This window comes from Homo sapiens, chromosome 5 (genome assembly GCF_000001405.40).
Source record: "Homo sapiens chromosome 5, GRCh38.p14 Primary Assembly".
Lineage (NCBI taxonomy): Eukaryota > Metazoa > Chordata > Mammalia > Primates > Hominidae > Homo > Homo sapiens.
In genome coordinates, this window is record NC_000005.10 from 123359688 (window position 1) to 123384698 (window position 25011).

The following is a 25011-nucleotide window of genomic DNA, read 5'->3' on the forward strand; positions in this document are numbered from 1 at the left end:
ATTTATATTTTACAGCTGTTGCCTTCCCAGTTACCAAAGAACAAAAAAGCTTACCACTGGTACGGTTGTGAATCAAAAGAAAAGATTTTTTTCTAAATAATTAGAAGGTTATAAAATAATTAGGTTATATTTTTAATTCACAAATAGACTATCCTGGGTCACCTTTGAGTAATGGAAATCTCTGTTTAAACATTCTTCTGGCAATGGGCACCAAGCATTAGGTCTTATTTCCAAGCTTTACCAGCTGGGTTTTGTCATTAACATTTATTAACAATCTAAGATATGGCTTTCACCATCTAATCCGTACTACACAAATGTTTTGTATGGCCCTCCAGAGGGTTTTGATGTGACAAATTACTGGCAGAGATTACAGCCCCGTGGCTATTCACCAGAGGCAATGTAAAATTAACATGGTACTAATCCAATTTAAACAAGAAGTTGCACAAACAATCTTCTGAACAAAACCAGATAGACGATTCCAAAATTACATTCAAGCACAATAAATGTGTTTTTAATAAAAAGTTTAAGGAAAAGAAATTGAGTAATTTTCACACACATGAAATGTGCCTATTTGATGAAGTTATTAATTTTAATCTTACTAAAACAGTCAGGGGCAGAGCACAATTCACTATGATAATCCCAAGGTCTATTACTTTTCTTCTTAAAGTGTTGCATCTCAGTGTAGTCTGCAGAACATCAATGATTCCTAGTGACCTCAAAATGTGTTTACAGTGTTGCCTCTAAAGCAGAAAGTTTGTGGGATAAGGATTAAAATTGGTTTGCAATGAAAAAGCAATGAGCATCTCTGCACTCAAAGAACTTTTCTTTCATGGAGTATAAGTTTCAGAATTGAACCAGTAATTTAAAACTTTTTTTTTCCTTTTCTTTACAAAAGGTATCTGAATGTTTGTGATATTCTCCTTATTTGAATAAAATAGCTAAAATTACTTTGCAATGCTTTTTGGGCAAGAGGGTAGGAAATACAAAAGAAGAAGGTTAAATAGAAAATGGATTAAATGGAAAAAAGATCCAGCAGATAAGAAAAGTGTATGAGGATGCGTGTGTTAGGAAGGAGGGATTCTTGCAGTGGAGCCTTTCACACTGAATCTTCTTTTAAAGGAGACTACTTCAATACCCCAGTGTAAAACTAACCAAAAGTCAGGAATTTGGGGGATTCTATTCAGAACACTGTTTACTTATATTATTTTTTTGAAACTACCTCAAATGGTGAAAAACTTAAAGAATGTAATCTATAATATACACATATGAACATGACAAAGTAAAAAGTTCTTGCATAGATACTTCTCAATAAAAAACATGTCAATTATAATGACATTGTTTCAATAATTAATGATTATTCAATTCTCCAGAGAAAATGCCCTAACCAATAGCTAACACTGTTCCCCTTTTCAGCTGATTTGGGTAATGTGTAATGACTGTTCACTGCTCAGCTTCTTCAATGGAAGCACTATTTTCCACTTCTTCCCCATCTACTCTCCAGTTAAAAACTTGAAATGATTTCCTATCCAGTAGTGTTATTTGAATCATTTTCTCTTTGAGATATTTCTCCCTTAGCTTTGAGTGACAAATGTGGTGATAGCCCCCAGTGGTCCCTTTGTTTTTCTAATACTTGCTGACTTCATTTACATTTCTTACCACCCTGCTATATTCTAAGTATCAGTCCTCCTAGGTGAACAACTGCTATATCCATAGCAGCCCATTGTGCAAGGTGCATAGCAGGCTCTCAATAAGCACTTGCTGAATGAATGAAAGAATGAAGTAACTACAGATGTTTCTTCATCTCAATGTACTCACATTCCTTTATACTCAAACTTGGGAAGTTTACCTACTGACACTCTTGCACATCTGTACATTTAGCCCTTACATACTTTTTGCTTCTGTACAGTTTTCTACAGAACGTCTATCACTGCATAACAATATCCCCCAATTATGCACACTTAAGAATTCTGTCAGTCACAAAGCCCTCTAGTATTTGTTCTGTTCATCAATATCGAAAGCTACTGTCCAATTAGGTCCCCACTGACTGAACGCACCACCACCACAGAACAGCTTTATGGCTCATCTCTTTTTAGCAAGTTACTTACCATTTACTGAGCACATACTATGTATCAAACACTGTATTAAACACTTTAAAACCACTCATTTAATTCTCAGAATAACCTGTGGAAGAAAATTTCTCATTGTTCAAATGAAGAAACTAATCAGAGAAATTCCCAAAGTCAGAGAGGTAGAACCAAAATTCAACCTAGCTCTCTTGACTCCAGGGCCATGTTCTTAACTACTATTTATGCTGCTTCTGATGGAGTTTATATCTTGTTACCTTTCTACTATTTATGCTGCTTCTGATGGAGTTTATATCTTGTTACCTTTAACAGCCATTCTCTTCATATTTCCTTGGCCCCAATTCCACAGGGACTCCTCTCTATTATACTACATGCACTTAAATATCTTGGCATCATAACCATATATTAGCTGCTTCTCTCTCAAAATCACTTTAATTCTCATTACCAGACCTGGTCTCTCTTGTCAATGATGGCATTTTCCTTCTTAGGATATACCAACTCACGATGACCCCTACCTCAGTACTCTCGTCAGAGTGGCTAATTTTCTTCTCCTAGAAATTATTTCATTCCTTGACTTCAATGGACTAAGACCATATCATAAAAGGGAAAGAGCCTGAGGCTGGATTCATCAAAAGCTTTCAATGCTGGGTCTATCACTTAGTACCTATGTGATCACATGCAACTTAACTTCTTTAAGTCTCAGTTTCTTCATTAGGTTGGTGCAAAAGTAACTGCGGTTTTTGCCGCTTTCACTTTTGCACCTACCTAATAAAATGGGAATATTACCTGCTATGTAGGGATCTTTGTCAGGATTAAATGATAAATTCTGAAGGGCTCAGTGTTACACCTAGCACAAAGTAAGCCTTCCAGACATGCTAATTGCTCTAACAGTATCATCATAGTGATCTTCACATTTTCTCTAGCTGTTATTTCCTTCATTAGCTTTCTTTTCTCTTTCCTAAACATAAGAATTCCAAGTTCTAGCTGGCACAACTTTAAACACTACCTCTGCAAAGGACTCCTTTATGTCTATTTTTAAGCCCAATCATTCTCCCAACAACAGATCCATATTTCTAACTGGTAGCCGAATTTCATTCTGTAAAAATTAAAACATCCAAATTTGCAAATCCTATCTCCTTCCCACCCTCCAAACAGCTTTTTAGTAACTGTATTTCCAAAACTGGACCAGACACTGAAGCTTGAGCCCTTGGCATCATCTTTGACAAGAATCTTCTTGTTGCATTCCTACTGCTACTACTTAAGTTCCAGCCCTTATTACCAGAAATGACTTAGAAAACGGGCCCTCCTCTGTTTTATAAGAACAGCCTATGCTTTCCCACTTCATGCCTCTTTGCTATGATCATTCTGTTCATTATATTTACATTTCCCCCACTACTTTCCTAAATCACAACCAATTCCTCTATTAAAATCTTAAGTATCTATCTCCAGAGGTCTATCACAAATACCTCCTCTCCTATGACACCTTTCCAACTCCTATTAAATAGACGTACTTTCTCCTCCTGAGTACTCTATATGGCCTGTGTCAAGGCTCTTACTATTAGGCAGTAAATTTTATATTTATAGTTGTTTCTTCCTTATTACTAAATTGCAAGCTCTGTGATGGAAAGGCCTATGTCTTGCATATATTTACACCTGGTATAATATTATTTTATACTTATTGTACATGTAAGACACTGCTTTCAATACAGGAGACTCTTAGTACTACCCATGTCTATCCTTAGTCCTGTCAACATTTATATAATATAGTCACATGGTACATTATTTTATATTTACATATATATCTACCTGTCTTCATTTGTAATGCTTACAATCCCAACTCCTCTATCATTTATGTTAGGGTAAACTACCTACCCTAGTTTTTAATTCTCATGTAGACTGGTAGTACTCCATGAAAGTGGTAAGCATTTAGTATAATACCATAACGATGTTTAATAGTATTTGACAGTTATGGAGACATATTAAGAAAAATACAAACCTGAAAGACCCTATGTGTGAAATTTCATTCAGAATAAAACTGACACATTAAAGAAAAGTGAACTTAGAATAAACTAACCATTATTAATCTTTAAAAGATTTAGGTCAGTTAGGGTTAGATTCAAAATAAAAATCTTATTCATAATTTCTTCAAATGATTAAGATCAAATGTGTCCAAAATTAAGATTAATTTCTTCTGAAGCTAACAGCATTTGTTGATTGGTAGCAGGAAAGAAAAAAATATAATAATTCAGAAAACTTCTATCAAAGTTTTTAAACACTTTAAAAATCATGCAAAAATTCCCAATAATTCCCTTTCTTGACTGAATTACTGTGTCTTAAGAATAACATTTAAAATATATTCTTAAACTTGAGAAAATGTTCAAGTTATCCTTAAATTTCATCCTAAAAAGCACTCCCAGTGGAAAGTTTAATCCTAAGAAAGAAAAGGGTGGTTGTTTTATAAGTGAAAGTAAAATAAATTATTCCCAGTTTCTTCTGAGGAAAGGGATAGCTGGCAATTTTTTTTAAAAGACATAATTGTTTCAGTTTCTAACTATAAAAAAGAAGGATCTTGCCTTTATAACATATTTTTATAAAAGCCTCTAATCTCAAAAAATAGCAATATTCAAATGCAGACATCAGAGCATAACAGATATTGCCAAACATACGAATTTGCAAAGAAACAAGGGAAAAAGATATAAAAAGAATAAGCTATAAACTACATACCTGTTTAAGTCTGGCAAGTTCTTTCAAAGCTCGTCCCCACTGCTGCTTGTAATGCAGTTTAGACTTAGTTGCAGATTCCAACTTTCTTTCAAGTTCAACCTAACAGTGATTAAAATCATATCAAGTGAAACACTATACCACTGTGTACAACCACTGAAAGATAATATATACAAAGAGTCTGGCTTAAGAAAAGAGTTTATACAGTGTAACATACGACATCATCTAAAACTGTTATATAATTTACTATAAATATTATGGCACATGAACATTTTCTTGTTTAAAATATAGTCTTATTTTTATTGCCTAACAGTCTATCCTAAAAAGAACTGAATTAGTCTTAACCTCCAGACAGTTACTATAAATGTATTTAAACATATATATTATATAAAGATCATAGAGTGAGAAATACATTCATTTTTTACAAAAAGCAGTTCTAACTGTTAACATTCCAATTTAGCTGTAACTCTAAATCTTAGAAGCCAAATTTTCTTTTTGGAGGCCTATCTTCATATGGAATTTTGTCTTATGAAGACAGCCAGTAGAGATGCTTTTATAACTATATTTTGGCAAAATCATGAAACTCTGAAAACACTGAAATGTTTTATCAGAAAGCAGTTTACTAAGAAAGAGTACAAAGTCAAAAATATTTTAAGAATGTTAACATAAAGCCAAGAGTAAGAAAAATAATGTTCCTTAATAACACACATTCTATTTTCTATTTTTCCTCAAATATATAAAGAAAACACTAAAGTGATTCAATTAAAAAATATGATTATTTATACTTGCAGCAGGCAATCTGTTGTACATGAACTGAAGCCAACTTGGCTATGTTTTGGAATGTACTCAGTGTTTCAAACCAAGTACCAAACAAATTCATGTAGCCAACAGACAGTTTTACTATTAAGTGATAATGTAATAATCTGCTTGAATTACAGTAATACACTGTTACTCTGAACCGGTCTAATTTTTATATCAAGTCTAGTTTTTCCCATAAATATATGAAAATAAAATGAAAGGAAAAACAGATGGTCAAATTCCCTTCACAAAAGTGCAGAACATCTTCTGCAGTAATATATGACTACATGGAGTCAAGGTCTTTTCTGCTTTACAAATCCCTAGTGCTTGGATTTAAATGTGTTGACATTTCACAACTAGACTCAAGCATCTTAAGTTGAATAATACTGCTGAGATTATTGAAGATGATCTCTTCTACTTATGCCCCAAAGATGTATACCTACTACTTGGTAATTTAACAAGAGGCCATACCTCAGAAGAAAAGAAAAAAATATTTTTATCACTGTGGGATAAGAGGATAGTATTCAATTATACAAGCAATCATGTCCATGGGTCTTGGAGAGAAGGTCTAGTATATTAGATGAGCCCAAGAATGAGGGTTAGGCCAGAGATGAACCTAGAGGGATTACTTATACTCAATGCACCATCAGAAAAAATTGTGGATAGGTTATATCTGTTCTGCCATAATTATTAAAATAATTTGTATTTGCATAGTCACACTAACTTAAAACACACTAACTTAAAACACATGTATAGTTATAGATATAATTTCTTTATTCTTAATACAATCCTGTAGCTAAGTAAATCTGAGACACAAACCTCATTCTTCTAATTCATTCCTATCCCCAAATCAACGATTCCTAACTTATTTTTTTTAAGATATAGATGTCTCTGTGATTCTAAAGAAATATATGGACCCAATTCCCAGAAAAAATATACACAACTAAAATTTTGATATAATTTCAAGGCATTCAAAGACTTGGGTTCTTAAGAGCCCTTACTGTAAGTAGATTTAAACTTCTGGAAACCTTTGTACTTATATTTTTCTTCAGGTTTTCTTGGTCATGACTGAGGTAATAGACCATAAGCCAAGTTATATACTCCTGAAAGAAAAACTCAGCTCAGGACCTACAGTCCATTCAGAGGCTAGGAAAACTCAAAGCATAGATTAAAATTCACCGGTTTCCAATCTCCCTATTTCTACTCTTGATACACCTACAATTCTAGTTCTTTACTAGAAGTATGGCATTGTCTTTGTCTCTTAATCTGCTATTCCCAGATCAATTCTGTCACAAGGAACTCTACATTTTTCTCTTGAAATATTTTCAAATTCTATTCCTTTATATTCCTACCACTACTTCCTTAGCCCAGGTTCTTCTCAACTCATCTTGACTATGAGGTTCTTTTGTCTCTCCAGCCTCCCAGCCTCAAATCTATTCTATCTACTAATCTTGTAAAAACCACTATTAAATAAATCTATAGTAGCTACTATTTATCTACAGCATTAAACCTAAACTACTCCACCTAGGATTGAAAGCATTCCAAAATACAGTATCTGTCCTACCCGCTCAACCTGCTTTCCTCAACAGGAAACCTACTCCAACCAGGTTTGTGTCCCCTGTGCCTTCCCTACTCCTTGCCCAATTTACTTCCTGAGGCTGCCAATTCTTTTTCCTCTGCTTACCTAAATCTTAAGGCTCAGCTCAGACTCTACCTCTACATGAAGCTGTCTTACAACTACTAGATTCCGAACGCCAAATGGTTTCTATCACATTCCTTGGTGTTTGATTATTCAAGGTCATTTACTGCTCTCTGAGTAATCTCCCAATTACTTTACGAACTCTTTAAGTGAAGTCTCAAAAGGAAGTCTCAAAGGGATAATGTACTTTTTCTCTTCCTGTCTCTGATTTTTCTCTTATCTTTCCCATTTGCCCCAAGTCAGGGGTGGCATATAGTAGATACTCACCAAATATTCTTACATACATAAATTTTAGCTTAATTAAAAATATTTATGTTCTTTCAATATATCTTCAGTCTTTTCCACCTATGTAGGCCCTACTAAATTACATGCCTTCAATATTTCATTTTTTAAAGTCCCAATTATTGAAGCTATATTTATATATATATGTATGTATGTATATATATCCCTAATCCAAAAATCCAAAATCCAAAGTGTTCCAAAATCCAATACCTTTTCAGCACTGACATGACACATAAGAAATGCATCTCAGACTTCAGATTTTCCGAACAGCGATGCTGAACAGGTAAATACAATGCAAACATCCCAAAATCCAAAAAATCTAAAATTGGATGCTGAACAGGTAAATACAATGCAAACATCCCAAAATCCAAAAAATCTAAAAGTGGAAACACCTCTGATCCCAAGCATTTTGGATAAGGGATATGCAACCTGTAAAAAGAATCAACAATTACAGTTGCTAAAACTATATGTTTATGTTAACTTATTTTTAGACAATTTCAGTAAAAAAATGGGAATATGCATATTACACTGAAAAGAATACGTAATGAGAAAAGAAACAAAACTCTCAATCAGACATAACCAGAGCTTACAAATTAAATCAGATACTTTTTAACTTGGGTCTTTCTTTTTGTGCATTTATCTCTTTGTCACTATTTTAAGAAATAAGATTCTGCCCTCTTCTGGCTCCAAAAAGATTTACAAAGAATTTTCAGAAGAGCTGAAAAGCCTCTTTTCACTAGGCACTTAAACATGCTGGATGAATGTATTAAGTCTAAAATAGAGGCAATTAAATTATGTACTTTTCTCTCTCAAGGCAAACTCACAGTACTGCTTATACTTTTAATATGTTTAATGATTTCTATCCTTCTGATAAAAGCATAGTTGGAAGAAATTTTAAAAGTCATTTAAAATTTATTTTTATTGTGGATATTACCTAGTCAACCAGTCTGTATTCAGGGATGAATAAGATAACACCTCTGTTACAATTTTGATTTCTGGTCTTTAAATTTCCCCAGGGTAAAATGGAAGTACTCTTAGACACCCACATAATAGAACTTGGGAGAATCCATGTGACATTATCCAATGAGTGCTTCAAATATTTCTGGTAGGCACTACAGAATTCATATTTATAAACGCAGAAATACTTTACTACTTGGTTTTATCAAAAGAGAAATGGGAAATGTCCAGCTGGATTCAAGTTCACTGGTAGAAAAATGAAGAAACTGACCAAATATGTAAGAAAAAGAATCAATTAAGACTTGCAATTAAAGCAATGTGGGGATAAGAGTACCCCAAGATAGCTTGGCAGTTAACACGCTACAGAAACATTTACTGAGTTCAGAAACACTACATGAAAAATATATTTCAGGGAGATGGCTGAGTTTAGTTTTGGACATTCTGGGATATCTTGAAGACTGACTTCCAAGGGTCCAGGAGATGGACACTATTTCCATAATATCAAAAGATTATTTGTCTTTTCCACTTTCATGCTTCTATAAATGTACACTGGAGTTTTCCAGAGGCTACATGATGTATAATATCACAACAGAGTGAATTCAAAATCAGATACAAGAATTCAGATGTCTATTATCCAGACACTAAAGAGATTTGTAAAATAGTAAAACAATGTTACTCTTCTCAATTTTTTGTTTTAGAAAATGGTTATTTTTCATAAAAATGTTACCTAGGTTTTTTTTTCCCATTTCTAATACAGTGATTATCAATAAAGGGACCCTGAGTCAAAAAAGTTTGAGAACTACTGTTCTAAGGCATTCAAGAAAAGATGTTGGGTAGGCAGTTGAATATATGGGTCATAAGCCGAAGAGACAGGTCTTGTCCTCTAACACATATTTTCTACACACTAGATGAATAATTTTTTTCCTTAATGTAAAGATCAAGTTACTCTCCTACTTAAAACCTTTCAATGGTATCTCATTATTTACTTAACTTTTATATTTACAAACATACAATTTAAGTAAAACAATGTCCTAGGTTCTATGTTTAGCATTTTACAAATATTGAGTCATTTAACTCTGTTATCAACCTTATCACCTTACTACCTCCATTTAAAAGATATGGAAATAAGTACAGAGAAGTAAACTAAGTGGCAGAGCTAGGATTTGAACCAAGGTGATGTGGCTCATATTCATACTGTTAACTACTATTATACTATAACTCTATTAGAATAAAAACCTAAACTCCTTGTCATGGCTTTAATGGCCCATACTTTGAACCTCATCTTGTACATTCTCCTTCCCTCATGCTCTAGGATGGCCTTCGTCCTCAACCTCAAACAATCCAGGCTTAACCTCACTTCAGTTCCTTTGCAGCTGTTCCCAGGACACACCTTCTATAACTTTTCACATTGCTAGCTCCTTCTCTTCTCACAGATCCCAATTAAAATGTTAGTTACCCTCCTCAAAGAGGCCTTCCTTAACCACCTTATGTGGGGTGGTATCTATTCCTGACAGGCCACCTACATTGCCACATTCAATGACATCACCTTTTTTATTACTTTTATGTTTGACATAAACAAAAATGATCTCATTCATTTATTTTTTTACTCTCTCCTCTATAATGGATCTCCCTGAGGAATCTGTCTTGTTCAATGCAAGACTAACTATAATCCTAGAAACATAGAAGGTACTCAATAAATAGCTGGTGAAATGATTAGCAGCAACTTAACATCTCAAAACAATTTTGTACCAAGATGACAACATGCCCTCCATTAATTTTTGCTGAATAAATGAATATATGAAAATTCTGAGTAGCATACATGGTGTTGGTTCATCATCATGAATAACAAATGTTTACTCAGTGCTATAAGGTACAGGGTGCTGTCTTAAGAATAGGTAATATGAAAATAGCTATAACATGGTTTCTGCCTTGGAAAGTTTAGAATCTAGGTTGCATTATGGTAGCTCTGAAATAAGTATAAGAAGTATACAGTAAGTATTAAAAGTTCCTAGAGGAATCTATTCCACAGCCTACTATCAGATTATAGTATCTCAACATAAGCTTTAAGGATTTGAGTGCTGGATTTATTAAATAAAAGATTTTGAAGCTATTCCATAGTCTTTCTCTCCCTGCCACACTTTAGCAGACACCAGACACTACTTCTCTCAAAGTACTCTTGGCTGTGACTGTTATTCCTTAGTCCATTTTCCAAAACATGGAAGTCTATCACTCCCTAATGCTACTTTGTTTTTGTTTTTGTTTTTTTGAGATAAGTTCTTGCTCTGTCACCCAGGATGAAGTGCAGTGGTGGGATCATGGCTCACTGTAGTCTCAACCTCTTTGGGCTCCAGTGATCCTCCCACCTCAGCCTCCTGAGTAGCTGGGACAACAGGTATGTGCCACCACATCCAGCTAGTGTATATATATGTTATATATACATATATGTGTGTGTGTGTGTATATATATATACACATATATACCTATATACATACATACACACATATATAATGTATGTATTATAATATATATTTTATATATATATTATATATGTATATTTTTCTACAGAGGCAGGGTTTCTCCATGTTGCCCAGGCTGGTCTTGAACTGAGCTCAAGCAATCTGCCCACCGTGGCTTCCCAAAGTGCTGGAATTACAGGCATGAGCCACTATACCCAGTCCCCAATGTTACTTTCTGATTACAATTCATCAAAACTCATTTCTATTAACATCCATTACACAAATCTTACAAACTTGGGAGTAATATTTGACTTTGCTTACCAGATAAAATTTGAATTCTTTAACTTAGCATCTAAGACATTCCCCCATATGGCCAAAAATTACCTTTACTTCCAGCATTCTCTTATCAGCCCTATTTTATAAACTACTATTACAGGTTCAGCATCTCTCATCCAAAAATCTAAAATGTTCCAACATTTGAAACTTTTTTAATGTAACATGATGCCTATATTAGTCTGTTTTCACGCTGCTGATAAAGACAAACCTGAGACTGGGCAATTTACAAAGGAAAGAGGTTTAATGGAGAACTCACAGTTCCACGTGGCTGGGGAAGCCTCACAATCATGGTAGAAGGCAAGGAGGAGCAAGTCACATTTTATGTGGATGGCGGCAGGCAAAGAGAGAGCTGGTACAGGCAAACTCCCATTTTTTAAAGCCATCAGATGTTGTGAGACTTATTCACTATCAGGAGAACAGCACAAGAAAGACTTGCCCCCATGTTTCAATTATCTCCCACCGGGTCCCTCCCACAACATCTGGGAATTATGGGAGATACAAGATGAGATTTGGGTGGGGACACAGAGCCAAACTATATCAGTGCCCAAAGGAAATGCTCACCGGAGCTCTGTTGTCCAGTGAACTAGAACCACAGGGAGGATGGCCTGAAGGAAGCTGGAGAGAAGGGCTCTCTGATGGGACATGGAACCATAAAAAGATTCAACTACTGCCAGCGAAAATAAAGGAAGTAGAGAGAGATGGAAAAAACTTCCCAACATAGATCCAACTCCCACCCACTGGTCTTCCGCTAGTGCCCCCTGGTGGCGTGTCTATGAGGGAAAGGAAGCCTTCAACACAAAGCTGAGTAGGAAAAGATGGGAATGGCTGGCACAATTAAATCCTTAAACTTTAAAGGTAATTTTCCTATGTATTACCTGTGTTATTTTCCTCTGACTGCTATATTTTTTTAATCATGCCTAAAAGTTATTAAATCATAAAATGCAAGAACACATATGGTCAAACTTGTCTATTGGACATTACACATTTTTAATGCCTAGCACCTGAACATTGTTTGTGGAGGAATCTCAATTTAAATGAGAAGAACATGGCTTCCAACCACAGAAAACAAAATAAGACAACTATTCCTTCTTCCTAGCTGAGAGCTAGAGTGCAAGTCTGTGGTTCAAATGAATACTCCTATCTAGGACATTGAATCTACAGGGGTGATACACGGAGAGAATATTCACAATGGCTACCACAGAACAGTTCAACAGCATGACATTAGAATCAGAGGGTAGGGAATCCAGTGACATGGCAGTGACAGCACCAAAAGGAGCAACCGAAGTAGACTGTTTTCTGACAGGATCTTGGCTATGCCTTGCTTTCCCTATCCTGCCCATATTCTGAAACTACTTCTTTAGCCTCCTGAAAGTTTTGTAAATCCCTTCCTTACTAGAGTTAGTCAGTTCTGATGTTTGCAACCAAGGACTCTAATCTGTATAAGCTACAACTGACATAAGCCAAGAAATTCAAGTACTAATAATGTCACGTGCCTTTAATTCTCTAATGCATTCTTATTTGACATCAGAACACTACAGCAAAACATTATTATATTGTATACACATTATTGATTGATTTTATAAATTAATCACTGGGACTAGTTAAACTGCACAAAATTAACATGTGTACCTTTTCCAAGGTGAGAAGATTTATTTCAGACTGTAGACGGATTTCTGGTTTGTTGTTTTGCTGGTCCTTGAACTGTTGGAACTCTTTTTCCAAAATCTTATACTTATTTTCAGCATCATTAAGCTGTATTAAAAAAAGTTTAGCCATTTCAAAACAATGATATGCAAAGTTTAACAATAAAGTATTCAATTCAACAAGGTCTTTTTTTTTATTCTACAGCATGCTCATAGTAGAAAATCTGGAAAACTGATAAAGTACAATGAGGAAAATAAAGATCCTTAGTAATTAAAAATTCAGTAAATCAACTGATTCTACAAAAACTTTTGAAGAGTATGAAATTTCTTATCAAACTGGTATCATGAAAATGTTTTTGGTAAAACTCAAATGTCAAATGTAAAAGTTACCTTCAGAAATCCTAACACTTTCTTTACACTTTTCTTAAGATGTCGCATATAAGAAAAAATTCAGCAAGAGACCACCAGAAGCAGAGAGGAACAAACACATTTCAACACTAAGGCAACTCTGTCTCTCCTGGATTCCATGAGAGCAGAGTAAGTGCAAGTTATCTGCCAACCCAGGATTAGGCCCTACAGCTACAGTGAAAAGAATCTCAGGAGAAGACTCAGGAATAAAAACAGAGAAAGAGATTACAGGCTAAAATTACTAGAAATCCTCAGAAAACAAAGAAGGAAAAAGAAACCAGAAAAACCATCAGCCCAATTAATTAAATCAAGGAGTGACCGGGAGATCCAGTTTACTAAAAGAATGGAAATTTCTTGAATTTGAAGAGTTGAGGACGAACAATCAGGAATAGTCTAGAGCAATTGCCCAGTGTCCAAAGAACAGGAGCATAAAGAAGAGCTGGCAAGAGTGTCTCCAGATGGTGACAAGTTTGCAGACTTTTACTAGACTACTTTGAGGCCAACAAGCCAACCCTGGCCCTCTACTTATGGAGAAGGCCTACACAGGATTCTGGGATACAGATGGAAGGATGACATCTTTTCAGGTTCTCTCTTTACAGATGTGATTGTCCTTCCAATTCCTGAGTTCTAACTCCAGGCTTGTGTTTTGAAGGGCTCCTCTGAGCCACATGGAAGATCCTCGGGTACCCCAATGGAGCCCTGGAACTATAAGGCCTCCACAGTCAGCTCCATGCCTGTTTCCTTTTTCCCAGAGACCCCCAGCCCCCAGCAGCAGTGGTCAACCTCTGCTGATTCTGCTCCAGATCTTGAATTTAGAGACAGTTACAACCTGGATCTCAATTCTGTTTGAAAGCAAAAGAATACCATAATCATCAGTACTCTGGTGCATGACTCTACCCAGCCCAATGTAATGAAAATAAAATGTGAAAAAAATGAATAATCCTGACCCCCTGCCAAAAAAAGACTGAGCATTACAGATATGCCAGATAAATATCCATGTAAATAAAAATAAGCTCAATTTTAATGTAGCATTTCTTGTTTTTACAGTTTGGTACCATATGAATTTTACAAATTCAAATACTATTACAAGTTAATGTAATTTAAAGATTATTTGGTTCAATTCCTTCATACTAATAGGTAAAAACAACAACAACAACAACAACAACAAAAACTGAAAGTCAAAGAAGCTAAATAATTGAGGCAATGTCAAAGACCTAGTGAGCTAAGTCAGTAGCGGGGCAAAAACTAACTTCAGACCTTTTCATCCCCTTGAATAATGCTTTCATTAAAGCAGTCAATACTTCCTGAAAAACAAAATGACAAGATAGCCTTGACTAAACATTCAAATTTCTCTTAGAACAGTTTCAAAAATTTTTAAAAAGGTACGAAGATGTTCTTTTTTGAATGAGTTTTTTTTTAAATGCGAACAAAGATTGCTAAAGATGTTTTCCAAAAACATATACCGCTATGACTATCCATCATTATATAAACCAATTGTCTCTTCCCTAAGGCATAGGACTTACCTAAATCTGAAATATTAATACTAAGAAAATATGTGGCAAAAATGGAAATCATCAGTAATAATTAGGATTTATCTAGCATGTTTAGGTAATGTAGTGTTCCATACATGAGAACTGTCCATATGACAGAAGTTTACCTATTTTTTAACATCCAAAGTTGAACAGAAACCTTTCTAAAGTCTCTCACTTTTCTGTTTTAAACAAAAGCTAAGAAAATATTAAATTTGGTAGTTTCTTCACAATTCCAGAACATTATCATACACAATTCTTGTTACAATTGGGCTATAAAGCAGTAAGCTATTAAGGCATGTTGGGCTCTTTTTCCTTTGCTAAGTGATCCACAAACTACAGATTTGAGTTCTGGTGACTGCTATAATCTATTTGAGTACAGATACTTCATCTTCATCAGCTCTCACTGACAGTGTAACTGTCCCTTCTACCAGTCTAGTTAGAATTGTGTGTATAATACATGTAACATGGTCAAGGTAAGGACCCAAAAAGCTTTTCCACACCTAAAACGTGAAATGTATACAGTCATGGACTTAGCAATCTGGGCATCTTGGAAACTTCTCCTGTCCTTCCTACCCCCTTTTTTTCCCCCAGGTTTTAGAACAGTGCTTCAAGAATACAAGTGTGCTCCAAGTAATTTTTCCAAAATACCAGTTCTTCCCACCAAAGTTAGTTATTCCTACAAAGAAGTAAACTACACCATATACAACACCATACACAAGTCTTTTTCTTTTTTTTTTGAGACACCGTCTCATTCGGTTGCTCAGGCTGGAGTGCAGTGTTGTGATTATGGCTCACTGGAGTCTTGACCTCCTGGGCTCAAGTGATGCTCCCACCTCAGCCTCCTGAGTAGCTGGAACCACAGGTGTGCACCACTATGCCTGGCTAATTTTTATATGTTTTGAAGAGATGCAGTTTTGCCATGTTGCCCAGGCTAGTCTTGAACTCCTGGGCTCAAGCACTCCTCCCACCTCAGCCTCCGAAAGTGTTGGGATTACAAGTGTGAACCACTGTGCCTGGCTTATACCAGTCTTAGACAAGGTACAGATATGTGTATTTCTTAAGAGCTCTCCTGGTGACTCTAATATGTGTTAAGAGCCTTTGTTCTAGATGGGTGAATCTTCCTGATAATTGGAAGAAGAGAAGCATTACTGGTGAATCCCATCATAATTGCCCACTTTTACAACTTTATCTTTTGTATTTTAAACAAGACTACCCTACTTGGTAACAATCAAATTCATATTTTTACAACCACCTAAATAATGGCTCTGTGCTGCTGTGGAAACTGTTCATGAGAAAATTTACTGAAGACTTGGGAGGCATTCATCATACATATCTAATCTACATTGGAATTTTTCAAGAAAGATAAGCTTAATTTTTAACAGCTTGATTCTTTTTTTTTTTTTAGCAAATATTTATTGAGCCCCTATTATGTGCTGACAACTGGCCTGGACTCCTGGGATACAGCTATAAACCAGAACAGTTTTTATGGAGCAAACAATCTGATACTGATTAAATTATCATGCTAATGAAAATAAAAACAAACCGATATGACATATCATAAAGAAAAAGAACAGGAGAATAATGTCCTATGAGACCATAAAATAAAAATTTGTCCTAGACTTGAGGAGGATGAATTAGGGAAGATTTCTAGGAGTGGGTGATGCTTTAGCTTAAAACTGAAGGAGGAACAGAGTACACCAGGCCCAGATAATGCAGCAAACATGAAGATCCTGTGGTTGAAGTGAGCATGGCATGCCTGAGAACTTGAGGGCAGACAAGCACGGGCAGAGAGTACACAGCACAGGCACAAGAGTGGGAGATGAAGTCAGAGAGACAGGCTCTGATCTATGCAGAGGCCTGCAGGACAAGGCAATGATTCTGATCTTTTTCCTATGAGCAACAAGACAATGCTGAAAGGTTTTAAAGAGGAGAGTATCAAGATTCCCAATTTCAAAAATATCATTCTGGCTACAACATGAGGAGCAGATTAGAGGGGCCCATCACTGAAACAAAGAACATTTACAGGTAGAAGGTCAAGTATGGAGAGAAGGACCACAGTGGGTTTTAAATGCCTTTAAGACATCTGAACAGAGATGCCAAAAAGCCAATCAGATATATGGGTCTAGAGGGCAAAGGTAAGGTCTTGGATATGACCCTGCATGTGAAAGTCCCAGATGTAGACTGTCTCTGAAATCATGGGCATGAAATCACGAATAAGATTGTTTTTGCAGAAAGTAAGTCCTGAGCTTGGAGGAAGTCCAACATGTAACGGCTAAAGGAAGACAAGCCTGCAAAAGAGCCTGAGGGTGGCCAGAAAGGTAGAGAAAAACAAGGGAGAGTGGTGATGTGGAAGTTGAGAAGAGAAAATACAAAAACAAGGACAACAGTGTTGATGATACCAATCAGTTTTACTGAGTATGAGGAGAGGAAATAGGAACAGAGACAATTCTCTCATGAAATTTGGATCTTAACTAAATTTGGTCCTTAACTGAATTTGGTTCAGTGCTACATGAAGAATATCTATATTTGCTTAAAGAAGACTTATCAGAAAAAGATTTAAGTTGGAAATGACCTGAAATATGCACAATTTCATACAAAATAGTTAGAAAAAGATCCAACTTAAAGTATATTTGAATCTCAGTGCAATAATATGATTAATAGTCTAAATTACTATGAATTTTACCACTTTTTAGTAGTTAGTGAACTATTTCTCTTATTACTAGAATGCAAATAAACTAAGCATAAAAAGATGACAAGTACGTTATCCAACCTGTTGCTGAAGGCGGTGTTTATCCTCTTCGAGCTGTTTGATTTTTAACCTTTCTAGTTCTACTTGGTGAATACAGTCCTCTTTGGCCCTACGGATAGAGTCCTGCAGTTCTTGCAGGTTCCGCTGACGTTCTGATTGCAGTTCCTTTTTTTCTCTTTGAAGCTTAAAACAAAGGCATCTTTAAGAGGTTGGTTTATTGCTAGCTGCATTATACTATTCGATATTCCAATATCTTTCTATACACTCAAATGTTGAGGATATTTACAAATTTATTTTCATATCTTTTTTAGTTATTAGAGAGTTAATGTTCAAGTGTACCATTATAAGTTTTCAATCATTGTTTAATACTATTATACACACATATAAAAATCCATAAACAATTTGTATAAATTCACTTGAAAACCCTAAGCACTTAACATTTCCATTTGAATAAAACCTTTTTAAGTGTGTAAGCAAATATGCCCAAGTTTCTTTTCTTCTTTTAGAAACTTCTGATTCTTGCCTAATCGCATAGAATACAGCCTTGGTATTAGGCACAAATCTACACTATTAAGTTTAAACACTCTGACATACTTTTCGACCTATTCTTAATATATAAGATATGCTGAATAGCAGTTTGAATAGCAGTTTTCTGCATGTCTAAAAGACAATTTTCATGAAATATATAGAGCACAAAGTAATAAACAGTATGAATTTCATATATAGACTCTGTGAAATAAAGATATATGATAGATGACATACTTACTAATAACACCACTTTCCACCTCTTTGTAAATAATTATGTAAGACTCTCATAAATGGAGTGCCTCTATTCCAGTCTTTGCTTGTCTCATTCTTATAAGCAGCCCATCCTGAGTCCCTTCTCTCTCGGGACTCTTTTGCATCTAACTTTTAAAATAGTATTTCTACTTTGCAATAAACCCCTCTATGCTGAAAAAAAATACAATGGACGAATGACATACCTCTGATTCCACACTAGCAAGCTGCTGCTCTCGCTTCTCCAAGTCAATTAGAGTTTTTTGAAGTTTTCCTTCTAGAATAGTATATTCAGCCACCTAAAATATAGTAAAAAAAAAAAAAAAAAAGTTACCTACCTTCTCCCAAACTTAAAACACACACAAATTCAAAAATACACATCATTTCACTGAAACAGAGGACCTAAGAATAGGAAAGTCACAAATTACATCCGCCAATTCAAAGAAAAAAATGTGCTTTTATGAATTTGAGACTGGTGATGGTCATATTTCCTCCTCTTGGTCTTTTTTCTTCTCCAAGATAAACACAAATTTTAACTGTTATTCACATATTATGATTTCCACATCCTCTAGTATGTTAGACTTAATCTAAATTTACAGAGGATGGAAACAAAAGACTGCTAAATTTGAAACGCATATGTAGTGTAAGCAACTAAATAGCCAAGTGTGGAGTCCAGGGAAGAAGTCAGGGATGGGGGTGCGTGTGGTGGGTGTCTTGGTGTATATAATGCCAAGAGAGTGAATGACATCATCCAAGGAGTGAGTATACAGAGAGAAGAAAGGATGGTATTTGAGGACTGGGCTGTGGGACAAGCCAATAAAGCCAACATGAGGAGAATCTAGCATGAAAATTAGGAAAGAGAGACCAGTGAAGACAGCGGAACACAACAGTAGAAAAGTGTAGTCCAAAAAAAAAATATAGTCAAAGAAGCCAAATAGAGGAAGTGTTTCAAAGACAGAGATAAACCGGGTAAGGATGAGGAAGGATTGTTTGTTAAGACAAAAACTAACTGTTCTGGCGAGTGAGAAAATGAATTGACTAGGGAAAGCAGTAGGATTGTGAGCAGCCGTGAGGACGTCTTAGCGCTTGAGGTCCTAAACCTCCTTAAAATCATCTCTTTACCACCCATCTTTTCTCCATAACCTTTCACTACTATTAGTTTTTGGCTTTCGTTTTTTATACATATTGCTTTCCTGGTCTCCTGGACTTTAGTTTCACATTCCTCTATTCTAGCCACTGTACCTCCATCAGAATTATTGTTATAGAATGAAAACCTAATTATTTTATATAAAAATCTTCATTTAAAAAATTTCTGATATTTCTACCGTTCTCAACCAGGGTTTATCATCTGAACCACAAAACACAGAAAATGATTTAATTATTTTCTCCATCCTCTCCTAAAATGGTACATAACTACCATTTTAGATGCATAGGATAAAGTTAATTTATTACCAATAATGGATCACTTAGGGTATTAAGGGCTTCATTCTCTCAGGAAGGCCTGGCTAAGAAAAGCCTACAGTATCTAGTCTAAACTCTACATAATGGATTTACGAGATCATTTATTCTCCAGGGTATCAACCTCTCTTACCTTATTTCTTGAGGCACACTCTTTCCTCCCCTCTTCCAACATCAAACTACATATAATTTTCTTAATGCAGAGTGTATTTCAAACTTCTTTGCCTTTTCCTCAAGGGGCTGTGTCCGGAATACCCTTTGAGTCTACCTGGCAATATCCACTAATCTTCACCAAAGTGAAAGCATGATCTTATCTACAGAACACTTCCTTATGTAGAACTGATGTCTTCCTTCTCTGTGGGTAATGACTATCTTCAGCTATCTGACAGGCAGTCATATGTAAGACAGAGTATATCTCAGTTGCTCCAGAGGGCAGAACAAGAACCACGTATATATCTACTCCTTCAGGTAAATTTTCAAAGTGTGAAAGAAGTTATACATCGTTTTTTAAGACAAATCAGGTAAATAAACGAAAAGGCTCACATATAATTGACATTTAAAAAATACTATAGTGAGAGTCTCAGGGTATTTAGCTTTAAAATATTTCATCATACTGAAAAACAACTTTTTTTTCTCACTACTGACTTGATTTTGTAGTGGTTGATAAAATTTAAAAGAAAAACTGATCCCATGCAAGACAGGATACTTTAAGACAAATGAATTAAAGTATTTGGTCTCAAAAATGCACTTAGGTTGAAAGAAAATGGCAAATCTCAATCTCAGATCTACCTTTATCATATGACTAATTTGAATAAACAGCACAAACACTTATTATGTAGGCATCATATTGTTTTCTGACTGGAGTTATTAACTAGCCAGGAACTCATCATTTCAGGCTGAAAGGGTAGAAGTGTATAAATGGAAACCAATTACAAATTTTAGCTGAAAAGATCATTATTACCAAAATGACAACAAACCAAAAATTACTTGGTGAGTTTTCACAGAAAGTTTAATTATGGCACAAAGTGAATTTGTCACGGTTCTAGTAATTTTATTAACTTTTCAAGTATTTCCCGATTTGAATTTTGCAGACCTCAATACTAAAATACTCTTCAACACAATGAAGAGAAATGATTCAAGGATAAACTCATCTTGTCTTAAAGGCTAGGTTAAAAATTTTAAAAATTAAAATGGTATTTTCCAGCTCCCCCAGATTCAATGAATATCTAATAGGTGAGGTCTGTAAATATTACTTAATATGAAACTCACTTAATAACAGGATAACTCGCATAATGTTAAAATGTATGTCAGGGCTTCTAATTATTGTAATTTTGGTTATCTGAACGTTTCTAAAGAATAGAGACTTTGAAATACTCTTATTTTTGTCTTTCAGCTTTTTTAAAAGTTCACTGGTTATTCAAGTTTTTAATGGTGAGAATTAAGTTAGAAAAAGCTGATTTGGTTATTTTAAAATCAAAGGCCTGTGTACTTCTGTTTCCACCCATAAAAGACAAATGGCCCTCCTTTATAAACACAACTTAAACAACATTTATGAAACAACTGTTTTTAGACATTGGGCAACAGGCAGCACAGGACAATGATCCCTAAAAGGTGAGAAATAAATGAGGCAACCACTACAATATATCTAGCTTACTGCCTGAAGACTGTAGTAGCTCAAGGAAGGGGAACCCAAACAGACACTAGCAATCTTGCTGAGCTGAGAAAACGGAATGGAGACCAGAGAGGCTGAGGCAACTAGAGTTGATGAGAGGAGGGGGTTATAGAGAGAAGGAGCACTGGAGCCCTGTAGAGCCATCCCCTCAAATCTGAAGCTGAATACTGATTAACCACTAATAAGAGTATTTCTAAAGTCCTAAAATTATTAATAGAATATTTGAAGAAAGTCTGTTAGGGTTGTTTTATTTAATAACTTCAGTGTAAATGGATAAATATTAAGCTTTTGCTTCAGGAATAAAATCAGATGGTCTCATGTTATCATTTTTAAAAATGTAATTTATTTCATAATTCTTAAAAATAGCTTAAACGTTTGAGGCATTCTATTAACTTACAGATTATAATATGTAGTTTTATATATATTGAAATGTGCTTTTATTTCTTTTTTATACATCAGCAGGGTTTTTCTCTATTCATTTTTGTATATTCATATACACACACACATATTTTTTTTTAAGAGATGGGGGTCTCACTATGTTGTCCAGGCTGGTCTCAACCTCCTGGCCTCAAGCAATCCTCCCTCAGTGCTGGGATTACAGGTGTGAGCAACCATACCTGGCCTATATTATATATTTTTTGAATAGGTAATACATTTGCATATTCCAAAAGCACAAAATACTTTACAGTGAAACGCCTCCCTTCTCTATCCAGAGCCACCACTCACTTCTTCCATGCCAACATATCACCACTAAAATTAGTTATTCCTTCCAGAGACTGTCTTTAACGCAAATACAAGATATTATCATTAATATTCTTCCTTCTCTTCCTCACTTTTACACAAGTTATTACCTTTTTCTTTACTAGTGATTCTCTTTCTCGGTCCCTTTTCTTCCATTCCTCTGCAAGAGCCTGCATATGAGCCAGTTCTTTCTGCTTCAGCTACAAAAGGAAGAAAAATAAAGTCGCCAAAAAACCCCAAATATGTCAAATAAATGAATCAGTTGTCAGTTAAATAACCGATGCTGATCACTAATATGATTTTTTCAGGCATTCTTTTTTATTCTAAAAAAAAAAAAAAAAAAAAGGAGGATGCCTGAGGCAAATAATGCCCATTTGAGTTCACTTCAGGAAACTATAAAACTAACAGTGGGTTGTGCTTTCTAACTCTTGTTTGGAGACTAATGATGCAAGGTTCCAGGAGGGCATGCCAAATGAGGACATGAAATTTAAAGAGTAACTTCCCAATTTTACCCAATAATCATGAACAAAGTTTACAGAATTCTGAGTGGCTTCTGCCAAGGTGCCACATTTCAGGTATTTTTTGATTCTCAAATTTTTTTAAGTAAAGCATTGTTGACATTCAAAGAAGTTAGATAAGGTACCTACAGAACATAGAGATTAAACCTTGCTACGGAGAAGGAAAAATATACAGAGCAGACAAAGCAGATTTTTTAAAGTAACATTTAAAAAGTAACCTGATTTTCAAATATATCTTCTTGCATCTCCTTCCACATTTCTAGCTCAAGTGCTGCTTTGTATTCTAACGTTTCACGAGGCTCTGTCTGGATCTCTGAAGGACAAGGTGCTGGAGGAAGAGAAGACGGCTTTTGCTGTACGGCAGATACACCCTAAGAGATGAACCAAAAAGTACATTTAAACACTCACACACATATGCACATTAGATTCCTTTTAAAAAAAATTTGATAACATTCAATTATATTTACCTGAGATGAATCAGAGATAAAAATCTCACGCATTTTTACTAGTCCATAATCTTCTAGAGTCACTGTGTAAGAAAGATCTGCTATCCTGTTATTTGATCTACAAATAAAATAAGAAATACCTTAAAATTCACAGAAATACTTTATATTATTTTTCCTTTTATTTCCCCAGTGCTTTAGCAATGGGAAGTAAGCAACATTTTCTGCTCCTAACTCTATTGTTTTTGAAACTGCAGCAACTTCTGTAGGCTTCAACACCTTCCATATATATATAAATTGATCATCACAAACACCCTGCTAAATACACGCATACATTTACTACAAAATGACCCCTATGAGAGCTTTAAAAGGTATAAAGGTGAAATTTAAAATCTTACTGCCCACAGGTAATTATTGCTAATATGTAGTTTATTTCCCTCCTGTTTTATTTATATATAGATATACATGCACACATGCATGCTGACTTCATACAGTTTTGTCTTGTTTTCCTATTTACATCAGGGGCATTTTCTCACATCATAACATTAATTTAAAAATGTGATTTTTTTTTTACTGCCTGTAAAATATACAAATGAATTTATGTAGTAAAATATACTTAACAATTCCCCTACTCTTGATTATATTGGTTATTCTGAATTCTTTTTTCTACTTTTCCTGGGATGTACATACTCATAAATATTTTACTAGACATAAGCAATGCCTCTAGGCCTAATTGGCACATAAGCAATGCTTCTAGGATAATTATATGTTAGTATGAGCATAATGAGCACCTCTTTGTATCATACAACTGCATGCAGCATTTGTCATTAACCAAATGAGAACAAGATAAAATATTAGAAGAAAATAAAATGCTAGTAATACAAAACCATGGTTTTGTCTAAATCAAATATACTCTGGTCAAACAAAACTTGAATGAATGGTTCTCACACAATTAGAACTCTTAATTAACCAACTTTTGTATTTTCTTCTTCTAATCTCACAGATTTCAGAAGAAATGAATAAAGTTAAATGAAGCACTACTGTATCTGACAGAAACTCCTGAGAGTATCTAAGGTTCTCACTTAAGTAAATCTCCTAAAACTTTCTGTCTACAAAGTATGGCAATAAAAGTTAATATTCATAACAAACGGGCAGCATTAAAATAGCTTCAATTATTAGTGATTTTATTATCTTCTACTTACGACAAAAAAATGCTAATTTTTAAGAAAGATTCTTCAATAATAGGAGTTGAAACAAAATGGCCATGAATGGTGAGGAATAAGGAAAGACATTTCAATACTTTTAGAGCTAAAATTTCACTGAGCCTTGTTTCTCTTTTTTTTAGTCTTATCTTTAATGATAAAGGGCATATGATATATAATGTTAAGTTAAATTTTAAATTTTTATTGTTAATTTTGAAAGGATAATTCAACAAATATTTTACTGTATTTAAAATATGTTAAAAAAACGCAAGTTTTTCTTTGTGGCAATGAAGTTCAGGGCAAAAAACCAATAATTATTTTAAAAACTGCCTCTGACTGCCAAATATCTATAATGTCCTCAGACTTTTGATTTGGGGTAGGAGTAAAATATTTTAAGTGGAAAAACAGTCTTAGCCATTCCCAGTGCAAAATAATATAAAATACATTATAAAGTTTAACCTCAAATTACAAAATAAAAAAATAGATCCTGCATTTAAAATTCTCAAGCTAGAGAGAGGAAGGAAAATAATTAGCC

General features: G+C 34.7%; 1 protein-coding gene across 11 annotated transcripts in view; it reads right to left on the reverse strand.

Moving 5' to 3' along the window:
• CEP120 (centrosomal protein 120) overlaps window positions 1-25011 on the reverse strand; it is a 78951-nt gene that overhangs the window by 14796 nt on the left and 39144 nt on the right. For all 11 annotated transcript variants that reach the window (NR_164685.1, NM_001166226.2, NM_153223.4 and 8 more), the window contains 7 exons: window positions 23299-23395; window positions 23050-23202; window positions 22424-22513; window positions 18649-18741; window positions 17687-17848; window positions 12963-13085; window positions 4809-4907 (listed from right to left, as the gene is read on the reverse strand). Coding sequence is in view for 10 of the 11 variants with exons in the window: in NM_001166226.2 (NP_001159698.1) it covers window positions 4809-4907; window positions 12963-13085; window positions 17687-17848; window positions 18649-18741; window positions 22424-22513; window positions 23050-23202; window positions 23299-23395 (817 nt within the window). In the remaining variant the exon portion in view is untranslated. The remainder of the gene's footprint in view (window positions 1-4808; window positions 4908-12962; window positions 13086-17686; window positions 17849-18648; window positions 18742-22423; window positions 22514-23049; window positions 23203-23298; window positions 23396-25011) is intronic.